The sequence below is a fragment of the Homo sapiens genome, chromosome 6 (genome assembly GCF_000001405.40).
Source record: "Homo sapiens chromosome 6, GRCh38.p14 Primary Assembly".
NCBI classification, from domain to species: Eukaryota; Metazoa; Chordata; class Mammalia; order Primates; family Hominidae; genus Homo; species Homo sapiens.
The window spans coordinates 104,766,180-104,784,379 of NC_000006.12; the positions used below are offsets into that span (position 1 = coordinate 104,766,180).

At 35.5% G+C, this 18,200-nt stretch overlaps 1 protein-coding gene and 1 pseudogene across 18 annotated transcripts in view; one reads left to right on the top strand and one right to left on the bottom strand.

The window, feature by feature from the left end:
- Positions 1–18,200, bottom strand: part of HACE1 (HECT domain and ankyrin repeat containing E3 ubiquitin protein ligase 1) — a 131,826-nt gene that overhangs the window by 38,086 nt on the left and 75,540 nt on the right. For 11 of the 18 annotated variants that reach the window (NM_001350555.2, NM_001350560.2, NM_001350557.2 and 8 more), the window contains 6 exons: positions 17,907–17,994; positions 11,027–11,138; positions 10,834–10,931; positions 10,562–10,649; positions 5,746–5,895; positions 5,014–5,210 (listed from right to left, as the gene is read on the bottom strand). In NM_001350555.2, the coding sequence (NP_001337484.1) occupies positions 5,014–5,210; positions 5,746–5,895; positions 10,562–10,649; positions 10,834–10,931; positions 11,027–11,138; positions 17,907–17,994 (733 nt within the window). Of the gene's footprint in view, positions 1–5,013; positions 5,211–5,745; positions 5,896–10,561; positions 10,650–10,833; positions 10,932–11,026; positions 11,143–14,173; positions 14,279–17,906; positions 17,995–18,200 lie in introns of all 18 variants that reach the window. The other 7 variants (NR_146787.2, NR_146789.2, NR_146788.2 and 4 more) reach the window with 3 other exon arrangements.
- RNU6-897P (RNA, U6 small nuclear 897, pseudogene) lies at positions 643–747 on the top strand (annotated as a pseudogene).

Below are 18,200 nucleotides of genomic sequence, written 5' to 3' on the forward strand. Positions count from 1 at the left end.
GCATATGCGTCCTGCACATGTCATTTATTACCCTTGTGGGCATGCTTGCATGATGGAATCTTGGTGTGTTGAAGAAAAAATATATATGCAGCAGAAGGGGGCTGGGAGGGTCTTTTTTCCTTTGGGGATGCTGAAACAACTGTATGTTGTATGCTTGTGTTCTGAGTGCCCCCTGGTCATATGAGATCAGGTATGGGATTTACCACTTATGGCTTCATGTCAGTACTCGAAAAGTTTCAGACTCTGGGGTACTCTGAATTATGGATGCTCAACCTGTATACTTTTCTAAAGATGCATATAAAGAATCCACTTTAAGTCAATAATCTATGGATAAAAGTCTGTATTTTGTGCTTGTATGTGCATTAAATGTGTATGTTAAATAAATCATGCAAAGCTAGCACTAAAAATTTAATCATATAAGACTAGCAATAAAACCATATTAAAATGAAATCGTTAAAACATACTAAATTTGTATTTGCTACTTTGTTCACATTCACTGCCTTAGTAAATGAGAAGCCTAGCAGTTACACTGTCTTATAGACATCCATTTAAAATAAGAAAACATCAGTTACAAGTTTTGTGCCCTCGGGCAGTTATTTAACGTCTAAAGAAATGCAGTGTTGTAGTTACAAGCAGGCTCAAGTGCTTGTCTCAGCAGCACGTATACTAATATTGGAACCATACAGAGAAGACTGGATGGCCCCTGCACAAGCAGGCTTGAAATTTACAGACTGCATGGAGAAAGCTACTTAGCTCCTATATGCTTCTGTTTCCTCACCTGTAGAAAGGGGTATCTCCACCTCACAGAGTTAAGTATAATACCCATAAGGCACATCAAACAGTGCCTAGCACATTATAAAAACCTAATAAATGTCAAATGTTTTAATATTAAGGCTGTTTCCACACTAAATAAAGAGAAATAGCTATCTCAAGAGGCTGTTACAGGAAATGAGAAACATAAAGAACATGGTTCAGATACATGAAACACAAAGCACTCAATAAGTAGTAATTATTATCACTAAAAAACAGAATTAATGATAATGAGGTTGATGAAGAGTATGATGGCAACACTATCAGACATTAGGTGGCCCAATCCACAACAGTGGCAGTTATCCTTGAGTCCTTCCTCTTTCTCATCTTCCCAATTACCAAGTTCTATAAATTCTATTATCCTCAAAAGCTTAAAAGCTATTCCATTTTCTCCATCTTCACTGCCACTTGCCTTACATAATTCTTCATGCATGCTTCCCCAAACCAAAATGCCACAGCCTCCTCTCAGTTGTCCTGACTCTAGTACCGCCCCATTTCAACCCATTTTTCACACTCCAAGCTGAGTTTGGTTGTTTCTTTTTGTTTTCTTAACTGAAATTTGATCATGTCATTTCCCTCTTTAACATCTGCAATCATCTCCACAGACTTCAGAATAATTTTCAAAGTACTATTTGTGGATGCAAAGTCTTTCAGAATTTGGCCACTTTCTCCCTTCCCCACATCATCTTTTTCTACTTGCTTACTTTTCCATCTAAGCTAAGCTCCACAACTCTGATCTACTTGTGGTTTCCCAAAGCATGCTCTGTCACCTCTGTGCCTTCCTGTAAGCCCAGAACATTTCCTTCTTCCCATCCTTACTCCTACTCGACCACTTAATGCTTCACCTCTATAATTCAACTTCCATACCACTTCATCCATTCCCTGATACCTGCCCCATCTTACTCTTATCTTCTTTTTTTTCTCCAAGCCTGGATGAACTTTATGACTAATATTATAAAAGTGATGCTAACATTTAAACCCCTACAGCTTCAATTCTAAATGCTAGAACTGAAAATATGAGCAAAAGAGGCCATATCTAACTAATTTAAGAGTATTATATTTCAAATGTGGAACTAATATATATACATCTGCCTATATTGCTTGTATTTATTTAACATATTGCTTTTTAAATTAAAGGTATTTTCATCTATTTGGTTTCACTTTATAATCACCAAAGCCTTTTAATAAAACTTGGGAATAAGGGACTCCCCCATGTGGAGATCAGTTTACAAAGGCCCTCTAACAAGTTTAGCAAGTCATTTAAGTTTCAATAGTTCAAAATTATAAAGTCGAACTCTAAACATGACAAAAAAACTTTCTACCTATAAAGTAAAAAGCTGACTCTAAAGTAACAGAAAAGTTCATAACAGAATGTATAAGCAAAAAAAAAGAACAAACCAAAAATCAATAGTATTTCCAAGAAACAGGGTTTGAAAATTTTAAAGTAACATTTTGTAAACTGAATATCTTAACAATTTTAAGCAAGGTAAAATGTGATGTGTTTCTAAAGATTTTTAAGAGTTTTATATGAATCAGGTTATTTATTAAATAAGCATTATATGTTGAAACCTCAACAATTTGATACACAATTACTATACTGGTAACATTAGAAAAAAAAGGCTCAATTTATTGTGAGAAATGTTTATATAAAAAAAATGAAAGCTGAGAATGTATAACATTAATAATCAAGACCCTGCTATTAACACTCCTAATTACTTAAAAAAGTTAGCCTCTAATCAACCAAGCAATTAAACAAAATGTAAATATATATAGTATTAAACTGAGAAACAAAAGTTTCAAGCTCTTTAATATTAAAATAGTATTCCCACCTCTGGTGAGATGCACAATGAAGGGTATATCCTCAATGTGAGCATATTCTTACTTATTCTTATTTATTCAATATTTTCCATCTTTCTAGATTTCATTAAAATACACAAATACAAAAAAATTAATAATATTTTAAAAATCTAAACAAAAATCATGTCATAGTAAGGGGGGGTGCTGCTAGGAGATGCAAGCATAAATATAGATATACCTCATACACATTTTTTTTTCTTTTTTAAGTGATAGGATCTTGCTCTGTCACTCAGGCTAGAGGGCAGTAATGTCATCTTGGCTCACTGTAGCCTCAACCTCCAGAGCTCAAGTGATCCTCCCACCTCAGCCTCCAGAATAGCTAGGACTGTAGCCACACAAAACTAGGCCTGGCTAATTTTTTTATTTTTTATAGAGATGAGGTCTCACTATGTTGCCCAGGCTTGTCTCGAACTCCTGGCCTCAAGCAATCCCCCTGCCTTAGTCTCCCAAAGCACTGGAATACAATTGTTACTAGATCTTTCCACTTTGTCATATATATCTGAAAGGAGTGACAAACCTCACCAGATATAGTATTCACAGATAAGAATCATGTTTATGGTTCTCTTATCAAAGGCAATCATTGCTTAATAAAGATTCTATGACTTCATTACCCTTAATTGAGGGTAGGCCTCCAGTGTAAAATAAAATAATAAACATGCTACAAGGTGAACAATCTAAAAAAAGATTCTAAAAATATTTTCACTCACTGGCAAATCATATAGGTTTAAAAATTAAGTGTTTAACTATTATAATCTTCTAGAGCTTAACATGACTTACATTAAAAATCAAGTAAGTTCTTCCTCGACACAATTAATTTTGCATATAGTATGAAGAACATTAGACTTGAAATTAGGAGGCTTGGGTTTTGGCCCCAGTTTTGCCATTAACTCTTTAGGATTAGTGTCATTTCATGTAAAATGAGAGGGTAGAATTTAAAATTTCTAAGTATGAATATGTAAGAACTCAACTCCTGACTTTATTTCCAAGAATTCAATCTCTTTTTTTTGTACACTATAGTATCTTAAGTTTCAAAAGGTAAAATTATGTCGCTTGCTAATAAGTTTCCAATTCCCTTTATATATCTGAAACTAAGAACCTATTTTTATAGAAAACTACCCAATACAACTAACTTTTGTGCTGTGCTTTTCATTTTACAAAATGCTAATAACAATTCTGTATGGGAGGTATTATTATTCCAATTCTACAGAAAACTGAGTTCGAAGAATTGTTAAACATAACCCTTTTTAAAATAATCCACATTTTACTAAATCTATAGTTTAAAAAATGGCTCAGTGAACATTGTTTCTTATAGTTAAATTGATTCTGAAGATGTCTTGGAATTATAATTCAGCTAAACAAAAAGGGAGGGGGGCAGTTTAGTATTGTTCAACCAGAAGCTGCTACTTGTAAGCAACAGAACTAGAATTCATATGATATTTTCTAACTCCAAATACCTCATATAACATATTAAAACACCAAGCCATATTAAATCTTAAAGTCATATTATGACTTTGAACAGTGAAATTTAAAACATATGCAAAGATTTTTAAATAATACATATAGAGGAGAGGTAATAATAAATAAAAATAAGGCCGAGAGTGGTGGCTCATACCTGTAATCCCAGCACTTTGGGAGGCCGAGGCAGACAGATCACCTGAGGTCAGGAGTTTGAGACCATCCTGGCCAACATGGTGAAACCCCGTCTCTACTAAAAATACAAAAATTATCTGGGCATGGTGGCGCACCCCTGTAATCCCAGCTACTGAGGAGGCCAAGGCAGGAGAATTGCTCGAACCCAGGAGGCAGAGGTTGCAGTGAGCCGAGATCATACCACTGCGCTCCAGCCTGGGTGACAGAGTGAGACTTCGTCTCAATAAATAAATAAATAAATAATCAAGTTATACAGTCAAAAAAATATCAAAAGGTCGAACAAACTTACTGGATCCCAAAAGTATGTGGAAAGCTTAAACACTGGCATTTCTTTTCTCTATTAGAATTCTTTAATATTACACTTTAAAAACATGAAAGAGCAATTTTTGCAAATATCTTCATTTAAGCTTATATTTCTAATCAAATTTCTCAAAATGCATATGCCCAATTTATACTATCAGCTGAAGTGCTCTCGATTTTTTAGGAACCAACTCAGCACAGCTAGCACAATTATCAAAATAATCCTTTCTAATTCAAAATTTAACATTTGATTGTTTTATTAACTTAAACGTTTTATCTGCTATGATACTGTAATAGTAAAAGTTTTTCTACAAGTGCCAGAAGAATTTAGAGTAACTAGCAAACTATCAGGGCCAAGTTACAAACAATGGTTAAGGTAAAAACTGAAATACTCACTTTATTATTTTGTGTCACAAGAATACTCCCACCCCCAGGTTTCAAAGGCACCTCTTCCATTGCTCCAAACACATCAGTCTCAACAGAAAAAGTTAGTTCTAGACCCAGATCACTTATATCATTATCTAAAATCCATTGCAAATTTTTCGCATATTCTGGATCAATGGATGCCACATCTTGGTAATTTACAGGAATACCTAAAAAATGCAAACATACAGCAGTTATAGTCTGGTTTTGCCTTCCCTTATCTATTTAATGGTAAAATACTGCCCTCTACAGATATTCTGAAAAACTGCAAAATATAATACAATCCTACACACAGCATATTTTAAATGGATTCCTGAATTTGAAAGTCTGTTAAATTAATTCTGTGTTTCTTTCACATTGTTACAATGTAATCTTTCTTTGAAATAACTATTCAGGAAGTTATTATAAACTTCAAAAATGCCAATTATCTTAAGTATACTCACACTGAAATGTATTCTTAGCATAAAAATACACACACAAAAATTGAAAAAAAAAAAAAAAGGCTAACTTAACTAGAGGTGTTTGGAAAAAAAAAAGGTAGGTCATTTTTTTCTCCTTCAAACCCCGAATGGCTTACATATACAGATGGGCTCCAATCAAAATAAAAATTATCTCATCCAAAATACTACTGCTTATCTAGTTTTCCTCAAACTGAAAAAAAAACAATATAAATAAATGTCTGCAGAAATAATAATAGAGCCATACCAAGAATGTGCTTGTAGAAGGATCGTGTGAAGTAAATATTGACCAGCTGCCTGTGGTTCAACGCTAATCCCAAGATCTGCCCAGCAAACCGAAAATAGTTCAAGTGATCAGGATTTACATAAGAGTTGCTATTAGGCTGAAAAGTTGTTCCTATTGAAATAAATACAAAATAATATATTATTAAGAATCTATATGCAGAAGAAAGATTACTTCGATGCAGATAAACTAATTCACATACAACTTCAGCAAAGCTAAGGTTACATTATGTATAAACTTCCAGAGAAATGTTCTTTGTGGAAAATATAACAAGTGGTAAGTAGAATTGGAAGTATAGATGATAATCATTTATTCATACATATTTGTCACAGTAATCTATGGCAGAGAGAAAATTTTAGAGTACTTTTGACTGAAATTAGTTGGAAGATCATCAGAGACACTCTGGAAATAATACAGCAGAGGATCATATACACATACACATACACACACACACACGCACATATACACAGTTTCCTAGGCAGTATGGCAATAGGCTGTTCGCTAGGACAGACATTATCCCATTCATCTGTATGTGCCAGTGCAGTAAGTATTTGCTAGTTTTTGCTGCTTCAGGAGTAGAACACTATGAGAATAACTAAAAACTGTAAATGTACAACTGCTCTTAAGTGACAGGCCTAGTCAATGAACTTGATGCCTGTTAACAATGATTAGAAAATCACCTCAGTCCACAAGGTAACCAAGTCTTTCTAATGGCAAACAATTAAGTTTAAACAATTACCTCTGAGGTGAAAGTAAAAATGGCAAGGGCAATAAGTTACCAATTACTATGAAAATCCAGTGCAATGGAATATGAATCCACTTTTATAAAATATCTAGAATAGGCAAATTTATAGATAGGTAAAGTAGATTAGTAGTTACCTAAGGCTGAGGAAAGGGGATATGGGAGATATTGCTTAACGGGTACAGAATTTCTGCTTGGGGTGATGAAAAAGCTCTGAAAATAGATAGTGGCCGATGGTTGCACAACACTGTGAATGTACTTAAATGCCACTGAATTGTACACTTTCAATAATATAAATGGTAAATTTATATGTGTATTTCACCACCGTAAAAAAAAAGTCTCAAAAAAAAAATACTACTAGTTAAAAGTTAAAACCTAATGCCAAAACCTCAACTTTAAATAACTTTCTTTTCCTATTTTTCCTATTTTTCTGTGATGGTCACTAATTCATATTACAAATTTACTCATCCATTCAACAAACACATAATGAGCTCATGCTATATACTACTATTGTAAATGCCTGGGCTAAAAGAAACAACGGATAAACCTAATGAAATAGCATCAAAGAAAAACAAAAGGTAGAAATGTATTGGAAAGTGAAATCTTTAGTCATTTTGACAATAATTCACTCTGTGTTTCACTGGTCTTTGATTTCTCGGTGCTGACACCAGGTTAACCTGCTGACTAGTTTATTTAGATATAAGGTATAAATTTGCAAGCCTATGGGAATAACCTAAATAAGTCATGTGAGTCTCATCATTCACTGTTAAGGACCTTTGGAGAATAATTCACTGTCATGAAGCAAGACCTGGTATTAAAAGCCAAAGCAAAGCTTTGTGAGATAAAGGCAGACTTCAAAGACAAATATAATCATAATCCCAAAAATATAATATTCTGAGAATAATCACAAATATTTTTTACCTGTTAAAATAATGAATGATTACAGCTATGGACCAACAAAGATTTCTGATGATTCTACTTTCCTCCCCTAGCTCTGTGTTTAATTCCTTCTCTAATTACTTTCTGAGAAATCTAGATGCTTAAAAAGAATAGATAAGGAGACTTTTTTAAAAAAAAAAAAGGAAACATATAGGGAGAAAATCTTCAGAAAAGGAGTAACAGTTTTTAACTTGAAAATTTTAAATAGAATTAAAAGTTTATGATAAATTTTAAGTTCAAAAAATATATATAGCTGTGATTCCCCCAACTATTTTCATGCTCTCAGAAAAATCCTAGTATACAATAATATCATTTTCATGTAATAATAATAGCATATAATATTTATACTTTCTATATGCCAGGCACCAACTAAGCATTTTCACATATCAGCTAACTGAGTTCTTACCACATTACAAAAAATAGGTTATCATCTTTTCTCTTTTTTTTTTTTTTTTTTTTTTTTTTTGAGACGGAGTCTCGCTCTGTCGCCCAGGCTGGAGTGCAGTGGCGGGATCTCGGCTCACTGCAAGCTCCGCCTCCCGGGTTCACGCCATTCTCCTGCCTCAGCCTCCCAAGTAGCTGGGACTACAGGCGCCCGCCACTACGCCCGGCTAATTTTTTTGTATTTTTAGTAGAGACGGGGTTTCACCGTTTTAGCCGGGATGGTCTCGATCTCCTGACCTCGTGATCCGCCCGCCTCGGCCTCCCAAAGTGCTGGGATTACAGGCGTGAGCCACCGCGCCCGGCCTCTCTTTTTTTTTTGAGACGGAGTCTCGCCCTGTCACCAGGCTGGAGTGCAGTGGCACAACCTCAGCTCACTACAACCTCCACCTCCTGGGTTCAAGAGATTCTCCTCCCTCAGCCTACCAAGTAGCTGGGACTACAAGCACATGCCACCATGCCCAGTTAATTTTTGTATTTTCAGTTAGAGATGGGGTTTTACCATGTTGACCAGGATGGTCTTGATCTTTTGACCTCGTGATCTGCCCGCCTCGGCCTCCCAAAGTGCTGGGATTACAGGCATGAGCCACCGCGCCCAAGCAGGTATCATCATTTTTAAATGAGGACACAAAGGCGCAGAATAGTTAAGTTTACTGGCCCCAAGATTGTATCAAAAGAATAGCAGTCAAGATTCTCACCATGTATAAACCCAAAGGACAAATTCATAACAAATATACTATTTCACTACAGTAAGCATCTTAATTTCATTAGAAAACAAGTTCTTTAAAAAATTATTATAGATATCGGGTCTACCCAAACATTCCCCACATTTAGAAATTCTTGATTCCTATATGTAATTCTCTTTGTCAACTAAACCTGAGAACGTGAAAATATTTCAGCTTGATTTTAATTTATTAATACTATGACACCAAAGAGGAGACTGATATGGCTTACAAAAAAGATAAATCAAAATGTTTGGCCAGACGTAGTAGCTTACACCTGTAATCCCAGAACTTTGGGAGGCCGAGGCGGGTAGATAACCTGAGCTCAAGAGTTTGAGGCCAGCCTCGGCAGCATGGCGAAACCTCATCTCCACAAAAAGAATAGAGAAATTACAAAATACAAAAACTAGCCAGGCGCCATGGCTGGTCTCCCAGCTCAAGTGATCCTCCCACCTCAGCCATACCAGCTACTCGGGAGGCTGAGGTGGAGGGTCCCTTGAGCCCGGGAGGTCAAGGCTGCAGTGATCCAAGATTGCGCCACTGCCCTCTAGCCTGGGTGACAGAGCGAGACTCTGTCTCAAAGAAAAAAAAAAACAAAAAACTTTATGGGTCTATGTACTTCAACATTTGCTCTGCTATAAATCTGTAACATTAAGGAAGTACCTCAACTAATGATTCCACACCAAATCTGTTTTTCAGATATTAAGCTAAGTAGACTTAGAATAAAGGATATAAAGAGAAGAAATAAGTCTAAAATATAATGCTAGATCTAGCTTCAAAGATTAGGCCTAAATAATTAAACTCATGACTTCACTGAACTCGTCATTCACAAAGACACCAAATTCACCTCAGAGCAAAGAATTAAAGGTTACAGAGTTAAAGCAGGCAGTTCCATGTTCCTACATAATTTCAAATACTCAAAGTGTATCCACGAAACCCATCACAGGGATGAATGCCTGCAGCTGCCTAGCTCTACTGCAGCCTACTCCCACTTGCCTCCCCTAAAATCATCCTTCTGATCAAATAGGGATTTGCTGCTAGTTTGGTTGGAAGCAATCAGAAGCTACAATTAATGAAGCATTCTCTCCTGATAAAAGAATGTAAACATTTGGGGAGAGAAAAGATTTTTAGGAAAAACAAGCGACTGTGCAAAGCATTTGAAAACTGAAATCCCACCTTCACTTGGAATATGTCTTTATTAAGTTAGAGAGCTCTCAAATATGCCTCACACAAATGAGGTGATAACTAATTCCATTTAGTCTACAACAGCAAATTACGACTCTATAGGGCACAAGCACCATTTCAACAAGGAGAGTTAATTATCTGTTTTATATGGTTCAATAAGAGCTTTATAGTAGCCAGGTCTTGATCTCTCAAAATGACTGAAAATAAAGTTAGTATACATAAATAGATTAAGAGTTGAAATTTTATATCATGATTTCTAGACTTGGGTTTTCCTAACCAATATATTTTAAAACTTGGAAACTCAAATAGAGTTAGCAAATTTTTATTTTTCCAAATAGGGACTTTTATTTGTTTAAGGCCATCTACAAGCACCATTAATTTATGAAATAAAACATTTAATTCAAAAAATGTAGACTCAAGGATAATCCTTAAATTGAACCAATTTAGTTTTATTTTACAAAGGACTGATAAGAAACCTCTTTGGGCCAACACTAGTCCTTGAGACAAGCATTTGGGAACCAACTGTTTAGAGGAACAAATGTTAGACTGAGTCAGGTTCCACTTATGATTCTACTACTTATTAACTGTGTGAATGCAGATAAAAACTCTGAATTTCAGTTTTCTCATCTATAAAATAAGAATATCCCACCTAGCTCACAGGTCTGCTGTGGAAATCAAAAATAAAATGTACTGAAATAGTGTGAAAAATGTGACAAGTTGCAGAAAAAGTCATCTAGACTGTACAACTTACCATCAGCTGACTGGGTAAACAATGCATAATCAGGATTGACTATCTCATTGGACAGAATATCAAACCACTCACGCACAACACCTTGACCCTGAATTCAAGAAATAAAATTAAGCATCAACAGAAATATGTTATATTGGGAAATTTTTTTCTAAATAACAAAATTTAAATATAAAGTTTCTTCCTTTATCAACTAAATATTAAACTTTATTCAAAAGGCATTTCAATCTTTCTTTACATACAGTGATTTCTACATCATCTTCTTTTATACCCACCATGCCTTCTTCTCCATGGAACCGTACAGCAATCCCTTGCTTTAGCTTTGCACAATTTGCTTTTGACACAACTTCACAGCTACTCCTAAAAATAGAATCTAAATATGTAGCATTGGTTAATTTTACATATTAAAATTTATAATAAAAAGCACTTTGTGCTTCACACATATATCAGTTTCTTTGTTAAGCATACCTCTGTGAACCAGCAGGATATCATTTTCATTCACTGGCCTGTGCACCATATCTGAATCTGGCTGTCCTGAATGCAAATGTTCATAGAACCATTCACAGCGATCTTTAAAAGGCTAGCTCAAAAAATAAGAGTAAAATATGTTAGCAGTGTATCAGTCATCTAATTATCAGATTTACTAGCTTGCTAAATGCCTTTTCTACAAATAATCATTCTTAGATCTTTATTTACAATAAGGAGTTACTGGATAATGTTTGAACATTTCAATAACTATTTACAAAAAGACAGAACTTAGCTGAAATAGTTTGACTACCTAGAGAAATGTATTTTTTTAAATTCCTACATTTTCAACACAAAAGACTTGATAAATTTGGTTATGTCTCAGAACTTAATATCAGACATGTAATTGAATATATTTATTCTCAATTCTTTTAAATCCAAGCCTTATTACAATGAATTTTCACACCCAGAAAAATTACGTTGCGTGTTCCATTTAATTTTTCATGAAAATAATCTCTTACACCTAATCTTATTTATTTATTTTGGTTTATTGTTGTAGTTGTTGTTGTCATTTTGAGACAAAGTCTCACTCTGTTGTCCAGGCTGGAGTGCAGTGGCACGATCTCTGCTCACTGCAACCTCTGCCTCCTGAATTCAAGTGATTCTCCTGCCTCAGCCTCTCAAGTAGCTGGGATTGCAGGCACGCACCACCACGCCTGGCTAATTTTTGTATTTTTAGTAGAGAGAGGTTTCACCATGTTAGCCAGGCTGGTTTCGAACTCCTGACCTCAGGTGATCCACCCATCTCAGCCTCCCAAAGTGCTGGGATTACAGGCATGAGCCACTGCGCCCGGCCTCTTACTCCTAACTTTATTCTTACTTCTATCCTTTAGAATACATGCAGAAATTGGAACGTAATTTGTTATCCCTTCCCATTCTCCACCCTAAAAATTGAAGAATAAGATCTCTTGAATAGCAAAGAGAGTCTCTCCCTTTTGTTCATCTGCCAGGTAAGCAAACTGTGAGTTATCTACAATTTTTGATTAATCAGAAAGTACTGAGTACTTACTATGTACCAACACTGCATGTAATGTAAGAGCAGTAAAAACTCCAAGAACTTGCTAAAAACTGTTTAATAGAGTTAAAGAGATGTGACTAACACAGAGTAACACAATATATATATATATAATATCAATTTCTCAACAATGAAGCATGAGCTATAGAAGTCCTGGTCATGGTAGCAAAGAGGAACAATGAAGCCAATCCGAGAGATACTACTTCTTTGAATAAGCATTAAAAGTAAGAGAAGAGGCTGGGTATGGTGGCTCATGCCTGTAATCCCAGCACTTTGGGAGGCCAAGGCAGGAGGATCGCTTGAGCCCAGGAGTTTGAGACCAGCCTGGGCAACAGTGAGACCCTGTCTCTACCAAAAAAAAAAAAATGTTTTAATTAGCCAAGCGTAGTGGTATGCGCCTACAGTCCTGGCTGCTCAGAAGGCTGAGGTGGGAGAAAACTTTAACCCAGGAGTTCAAGGCTGCAATGAGCTATAATTGTAGTGTGCTCACTTTGTCACTCCAGCCTGAGTGACAAACTGAGACCTTATCTCTACAAAAAAAAAAGTAAGGTAAGATCTCTGCAAGATAGAACTTATGAATAGAAATAACTTAAAGTGGAAAAGCCCTTTCCCCATAACCTACCCCCACACTCCTAGAAGGTACTGGTGGAAATATGAGTAAGATTTTATGTATCGTGAGTTTAAAGATATAGTGGGGTGTAACTATTAGGGATTTAGGAGGAGATACTGGACAGTGATGCAGCTGAGACACTGAAAATAAAAACATGAACAAAGGTAAAGTTGGAGACAGGATAAGGTTCAAGAGATGAAAGATACAGAGAATAAATACCAAGAACAAAGAAGTTTATGATCACAAGTCATGACTGAGAATTTGCTTAGCAAATGATACAGACGGCAAGAAAAGTCAAAGGAGAAGCAAGGTGGTGCAATACCATCACAAAAGCTAAGAGTTTCAAGAGATAAATATGATGAATACCATCCAACACCACAAAAAGGTTATCTTCCAGGTGGCTTTTAGGACACCAATAAATTTCTTCATCTGAGCTAAATTAAATAGGTTTGTTTTAAAAGATTCAAATATCACTTGTTATTAATTCTTAATAAAAACAATATGATCGATGAGAGATGAACTTCTGCCTTTTAATATTTGCTTTCAGTAAGAAAAGAATAAATGCTACCTTTTTAAAGTTAAATGTGTAATTTTGTCCATACTTGTAACAGTCTTCCACATTTTTTATAAAGCACTGGTGTTATATGCATTACTGTGCATATAAATTAAATATCTCATTTTCAGTTAACAAGCTGGAATATAAAGTACTTGAAATTCTAATGCTGACTATTTCTAAAACTTTGGTTTAAGAGGAGAGAAAAAACATTACACAGAAGCAATTATTTAAGTATGGGCTTTGAAGTCAGATAAACATGGTTTGAAATCCTCACTCTGTGACTTACTAGACTTATCTTAAGGAAATTATTAATCCTCACAGAACTTTAGTTTTCTCATCTGTAAAACAGAGAAAAGAATATACCTACTTCAAGAGCTGTTAGGATTAAATAATTCAAATAAAGAACATAATTATGATAATTATAATAATCATAATAATAAATTAGCAATCATTTATTAAGCACCTATAAGCCAGGTACTTTTTGAAGCACTTTACAATGCATTACCACATACAATCCTCACAACACTATGAGAAAAAGGAACTTTTGTCCCCATTTTACCAAAGAGAAAAATACATTAAAAGCATTTATACTAATGCTCTAATACTCAATACCTAGAATGCTCAATAAATAGATACTGTTCTTATTATCATTCACAGCAATGTTAAAATTATTGTCAATAACTATTTAAAAGAAAACTTACTGCCCATTATAAGATATTAAACTATATCATTTATCTATGAAATGTGAACCAAGAAATAAAAACAAATGGAACCTTTTCAAGTAATTCAAGTGGAACATTAAAAGGTACAAACTGCTACCTTCAAAAGCTCAGATCAAACACACACACACACATACAAACACCTACACAGCCAAATGGTACATTTTTGTATGTAAACTTTCTAGAGTACCTGCATTTCCATAAATAATTCACAAAACAGGACTGATTATAGAGGCTCCTCTTAATAGCATTTGTACAGCAATACAAAATGTTTCTCCCTTTAACTACTGGCCACCTGAAAACCACCAACAGAAGAAGAAGTCAATCCCTTAGCAGAGGTAGTTGTTCTTTTTAACTTTCTAGAGGAGGACAATCTCCAAGTTACAGAAAACTTCTAAGTACAGTAGAGTACAAAGTATTTTTTTTTCCTCTAATGTGAGAGCAACTTGCCAATATAATGTCCAGTCCCCTATAAACACTTAGGCATTTATTTCCTACAAACAAGGGAATTTTCCTCTATAACTAGATAACAACCATCAAAATCAGAAATTAACTCTGATAACACTACTACATCAGATCCCATTTCAAGTCTTGCCAATTTTCTAATAATGTCCTCTTATTGCAAAATGATTCATGAACTGCCTTTAATTGTCCTGTCCTGTCTCCTTCACTCTGGTACATTTCTTCAATGTTTTCTTAATTTTCATAACCTTGATAGTTTTAAAGACTGCAGGTCTTTAAAACTGACTGCAGGTCAGTTAATTTTGTAGAATGTCCCTCAACTGTATTTAGTCTGATGATTCCTCCTGATTAGATTTAAGGTGTGTATCCTTGGCAAGAATACCACAGAAGTGATGCCATGATGTCCTCAGAGCATCCTATCAGCTGGCACACTGCTATGTCTGCTTTGATCACTGCTAAGCTTCTCTACTGTAAGGCACCCTTTTTCTCTTTGCAATTATTCTGCTGGGAGATAATCTGAGACTGTGTAATCATCCTACCCTTCATCAGACTTTCCATTTATTCATTAACTTTTTTCAGTACAGACTCATAGATTCCTGTTTATGTTGCCATCATTATTTATTTTGATGCTCAAATTCTTCCAAATTTGGTAGTGGGAGTCCATTCAAGCTGTCTTCCGAGTCATGTTAACATAACCCCATCAGTCTTTGAACACTTCCTTACTTTCTTACACAATAAGATGTTGCAGGCTTATTTTATACTTTCCCTGATCTAGCCCTGGAATTAGCCATTTCTCCAAGGAGCCCTGGTTCATTGAGAATGGCACTGAGAGACCAAGAGCTGGGTGCCAGGTTTGCTACATGTATCTATGTAAATTTAAAACTAAATTCAAACTGGTAACTCCAATTCAACACAAGGTTCCTTCTAATTTCCTCCATTTTGTAACTCCTTTCTCCAACAACGAGAAGTTAGACTCTCATACTTGCTTATTTGATCAACCTGCAACCCCACTCCCTTGGTATGTAACCAATCTCCAATCACTGACATGGCCCCTGCATCCCACTGAGGCTCCATCAGACAGCACTGATCAGCTGCAACCACCGCCAACATGGACATCCTCCTTATGCCACTCTAACCCACATGACTCACACTGGGACCCTCTTCTACACAGACACACTTCTTAATCACATCCAAACTCCAAAACCCCACACTAGGCCACCACTACACATGTAGACACCCTCCTCACCCTAGTCAGGCAACAAACACCTCCCTCTCTGGGTCAACAAAGTGGATACCTAATACAGATGTTTTTTGACTAAATTGTCCAGGAAGGGAAAAAGGAATAGAAAGTAAAAAGCAGAGACAGTATTAGGTTGGTGCAAAAGTAATTGCGGTTTTTGCTATTTTAATTTGACAATTTTAATTTGGCAATTAAAAGTAACTGCCAAAAACCGCAATTACTTTTGCACCAACCTATATTAAAAACAGCAGACTATCTCTCAAAAACTAAAATCTTCTTTCACCTATTATCTCATTTGCCCCAGAACAGTATCATACAGTGTAGGTTAAGAAATTGAACTTGTCCGGGTGTGGTGGCTCATGCCCATAATCCCAACACTTTGGGAGGCTAAGGCAGGTGGATCACTTGAGCTCAGGAGTTCAAGGCCAGTCTGCGCAGCATGGCAAAATCCCGTCTCTACAAAAAACACAAAAATTAGCCAGGTGTGGTGGTATGCACCTGTAGTCCCAGCTACTTGAAAGACTGAGCTGGGAGGATCGCTTCAGCCCAGGAGGCAGACGTTGCAGTGAGCTCAGATCAACTATACTCCAGCCTGAGTGACAGGTAAAACCCTGTGTCAAAAAAAATAAATAAATAAAATAAAGAAAGAAATTGAACTTGAGAACCAGACAGACTTTTAAATTCTGGTTCTCCCATTTAGTAGCAGAATGACTTAAACAAGTTACTTAACCACTTCAGCTTACAAAAAAAAGAGTAGCCATCTTATACAATGGTTAAGAAAATAAAATCATTCATGGAAGCAAATACATAGTACCTGACCTAAAATCAGTAAATGTAAGTCATTATTACTGCCTTCTCTTTCACATTATCATTATTAAACAGATGTCAAAAGATCCCTCTATATAGTTATGTATAATTTTATAAAAATTAGTTCATAGCTTAACTTCTGAAAGGACAAGTGTCCCTAAAGACATTAAAAACCACTTATCCTATTTATTATCTTACAACTACTAACCAAACCATTGCCTACAGTCTGTCCTACATATCTGGCAAATTATTTTCTAAAACTTTGCCAGAATTATGCCATTCTCCTAAAGCAAGGGTATCAGTGGCTCCTAACAGCCTAGCAAACAAAGAAAATTCTTCAATCTGGAAATCAAGGCTCATCATTGGATGACCTCAATCTACCTTTCCATAACTCTATCTTGCTCCTATCAACACAAAATTTCTGCTGCAATACTGCAGTTTTACATACTTTTCGGTCTACATGCTCCAGCCCACATGGTGGCTAGAAAGTTCTCCCTCTTTGTTTACTCCCATCAAAATGTTGCATATTTTTTCAAGCTTTCTCAAGGTAACTTAAAATCTGCCTCCTCTGAAATTTCCCCTGACTACAGATGCCAGAGCCAGCTCTTCCTCCCTTAAACTCCTAAAGATCCAGGTTATGTTGTAGTTACTATTTTATACATATGTTTATTATCTCCCCAGCCAGACTGAATTAGAATCCTCTTAGAGAAGGGAAGTAAGTTTTCTATCTCCAAAACAACTACCATTTATTGAGCATATATCACAGTCATTCCTGACAATTTATTCTGGACAATAGTTCTATGAGGCTGCTGTCATTATCTCCATTTTGTAGATGAAGAAACCAAGGGCTCAAGGATATTAGGAAACGTGCCCAAAGTTCACATAGCTGGTAAGGAGCAAAACAAGCTTTCCTCCAGCTAGCTTCATGTAACATGAGATGTATGGAATGAACAGGTACACATCTGGTAGGGGAAAGGTGGTCAGGTCAAATAAGTTAGGAGGATTAACAAAGCTAAATCACTATTTTTACTGAAGGGCTTCTCAAAGCCTTTTAACATGCTGCCAATGTGATTTATAAATTTCCAAAGGGCATATGTTATGTAATTTCCCAAATGTATTTGGGGGCTAAAATCCTTTTCAAAAGGACAATCAGCCTTATAGAACTAAAGAGTTTCATTAAGCTCCTTTCAGGAAATGTGGCAATGTGTTCTGTTGTTTTTGTACAGACCTCTGTACATAGTAGGCACTCAGTACATATTTCTTGAAGAAAACTTACTCCTCATATTAAAGTAACATGCAATCATTCCTCTTACAACAGAATGTCTGAAGTGTAATAATTATTCCACTAAACAGTATTAGAATTTTAGAAATTAATTTCATTAGATAGAATAAAAAGATGAAGAAAAATTTCTACCTGTGCTTTTATGATATGCATGAATCTTGACATCAACTCAGGACATTCAAGGAGAAAGTGAAAGTGGTCAAATATAATTTTGGGATTTCTAAAAGAAAAATATTTTGTTTAAATGGACAGGAAGAATGAGTAGCATTAAGTGAAATGCAAATTCAGATACACTGACACTGAAACAGAAGAAAAACACATAATAATCCATATCTATTAAAGTTTCATTTGTTATTGAGCATATTTTGAATAGTACGAGAAATAGTATTTTTTCTGTTTAGATGAAACTGTAAGTAAAGAGAGGAA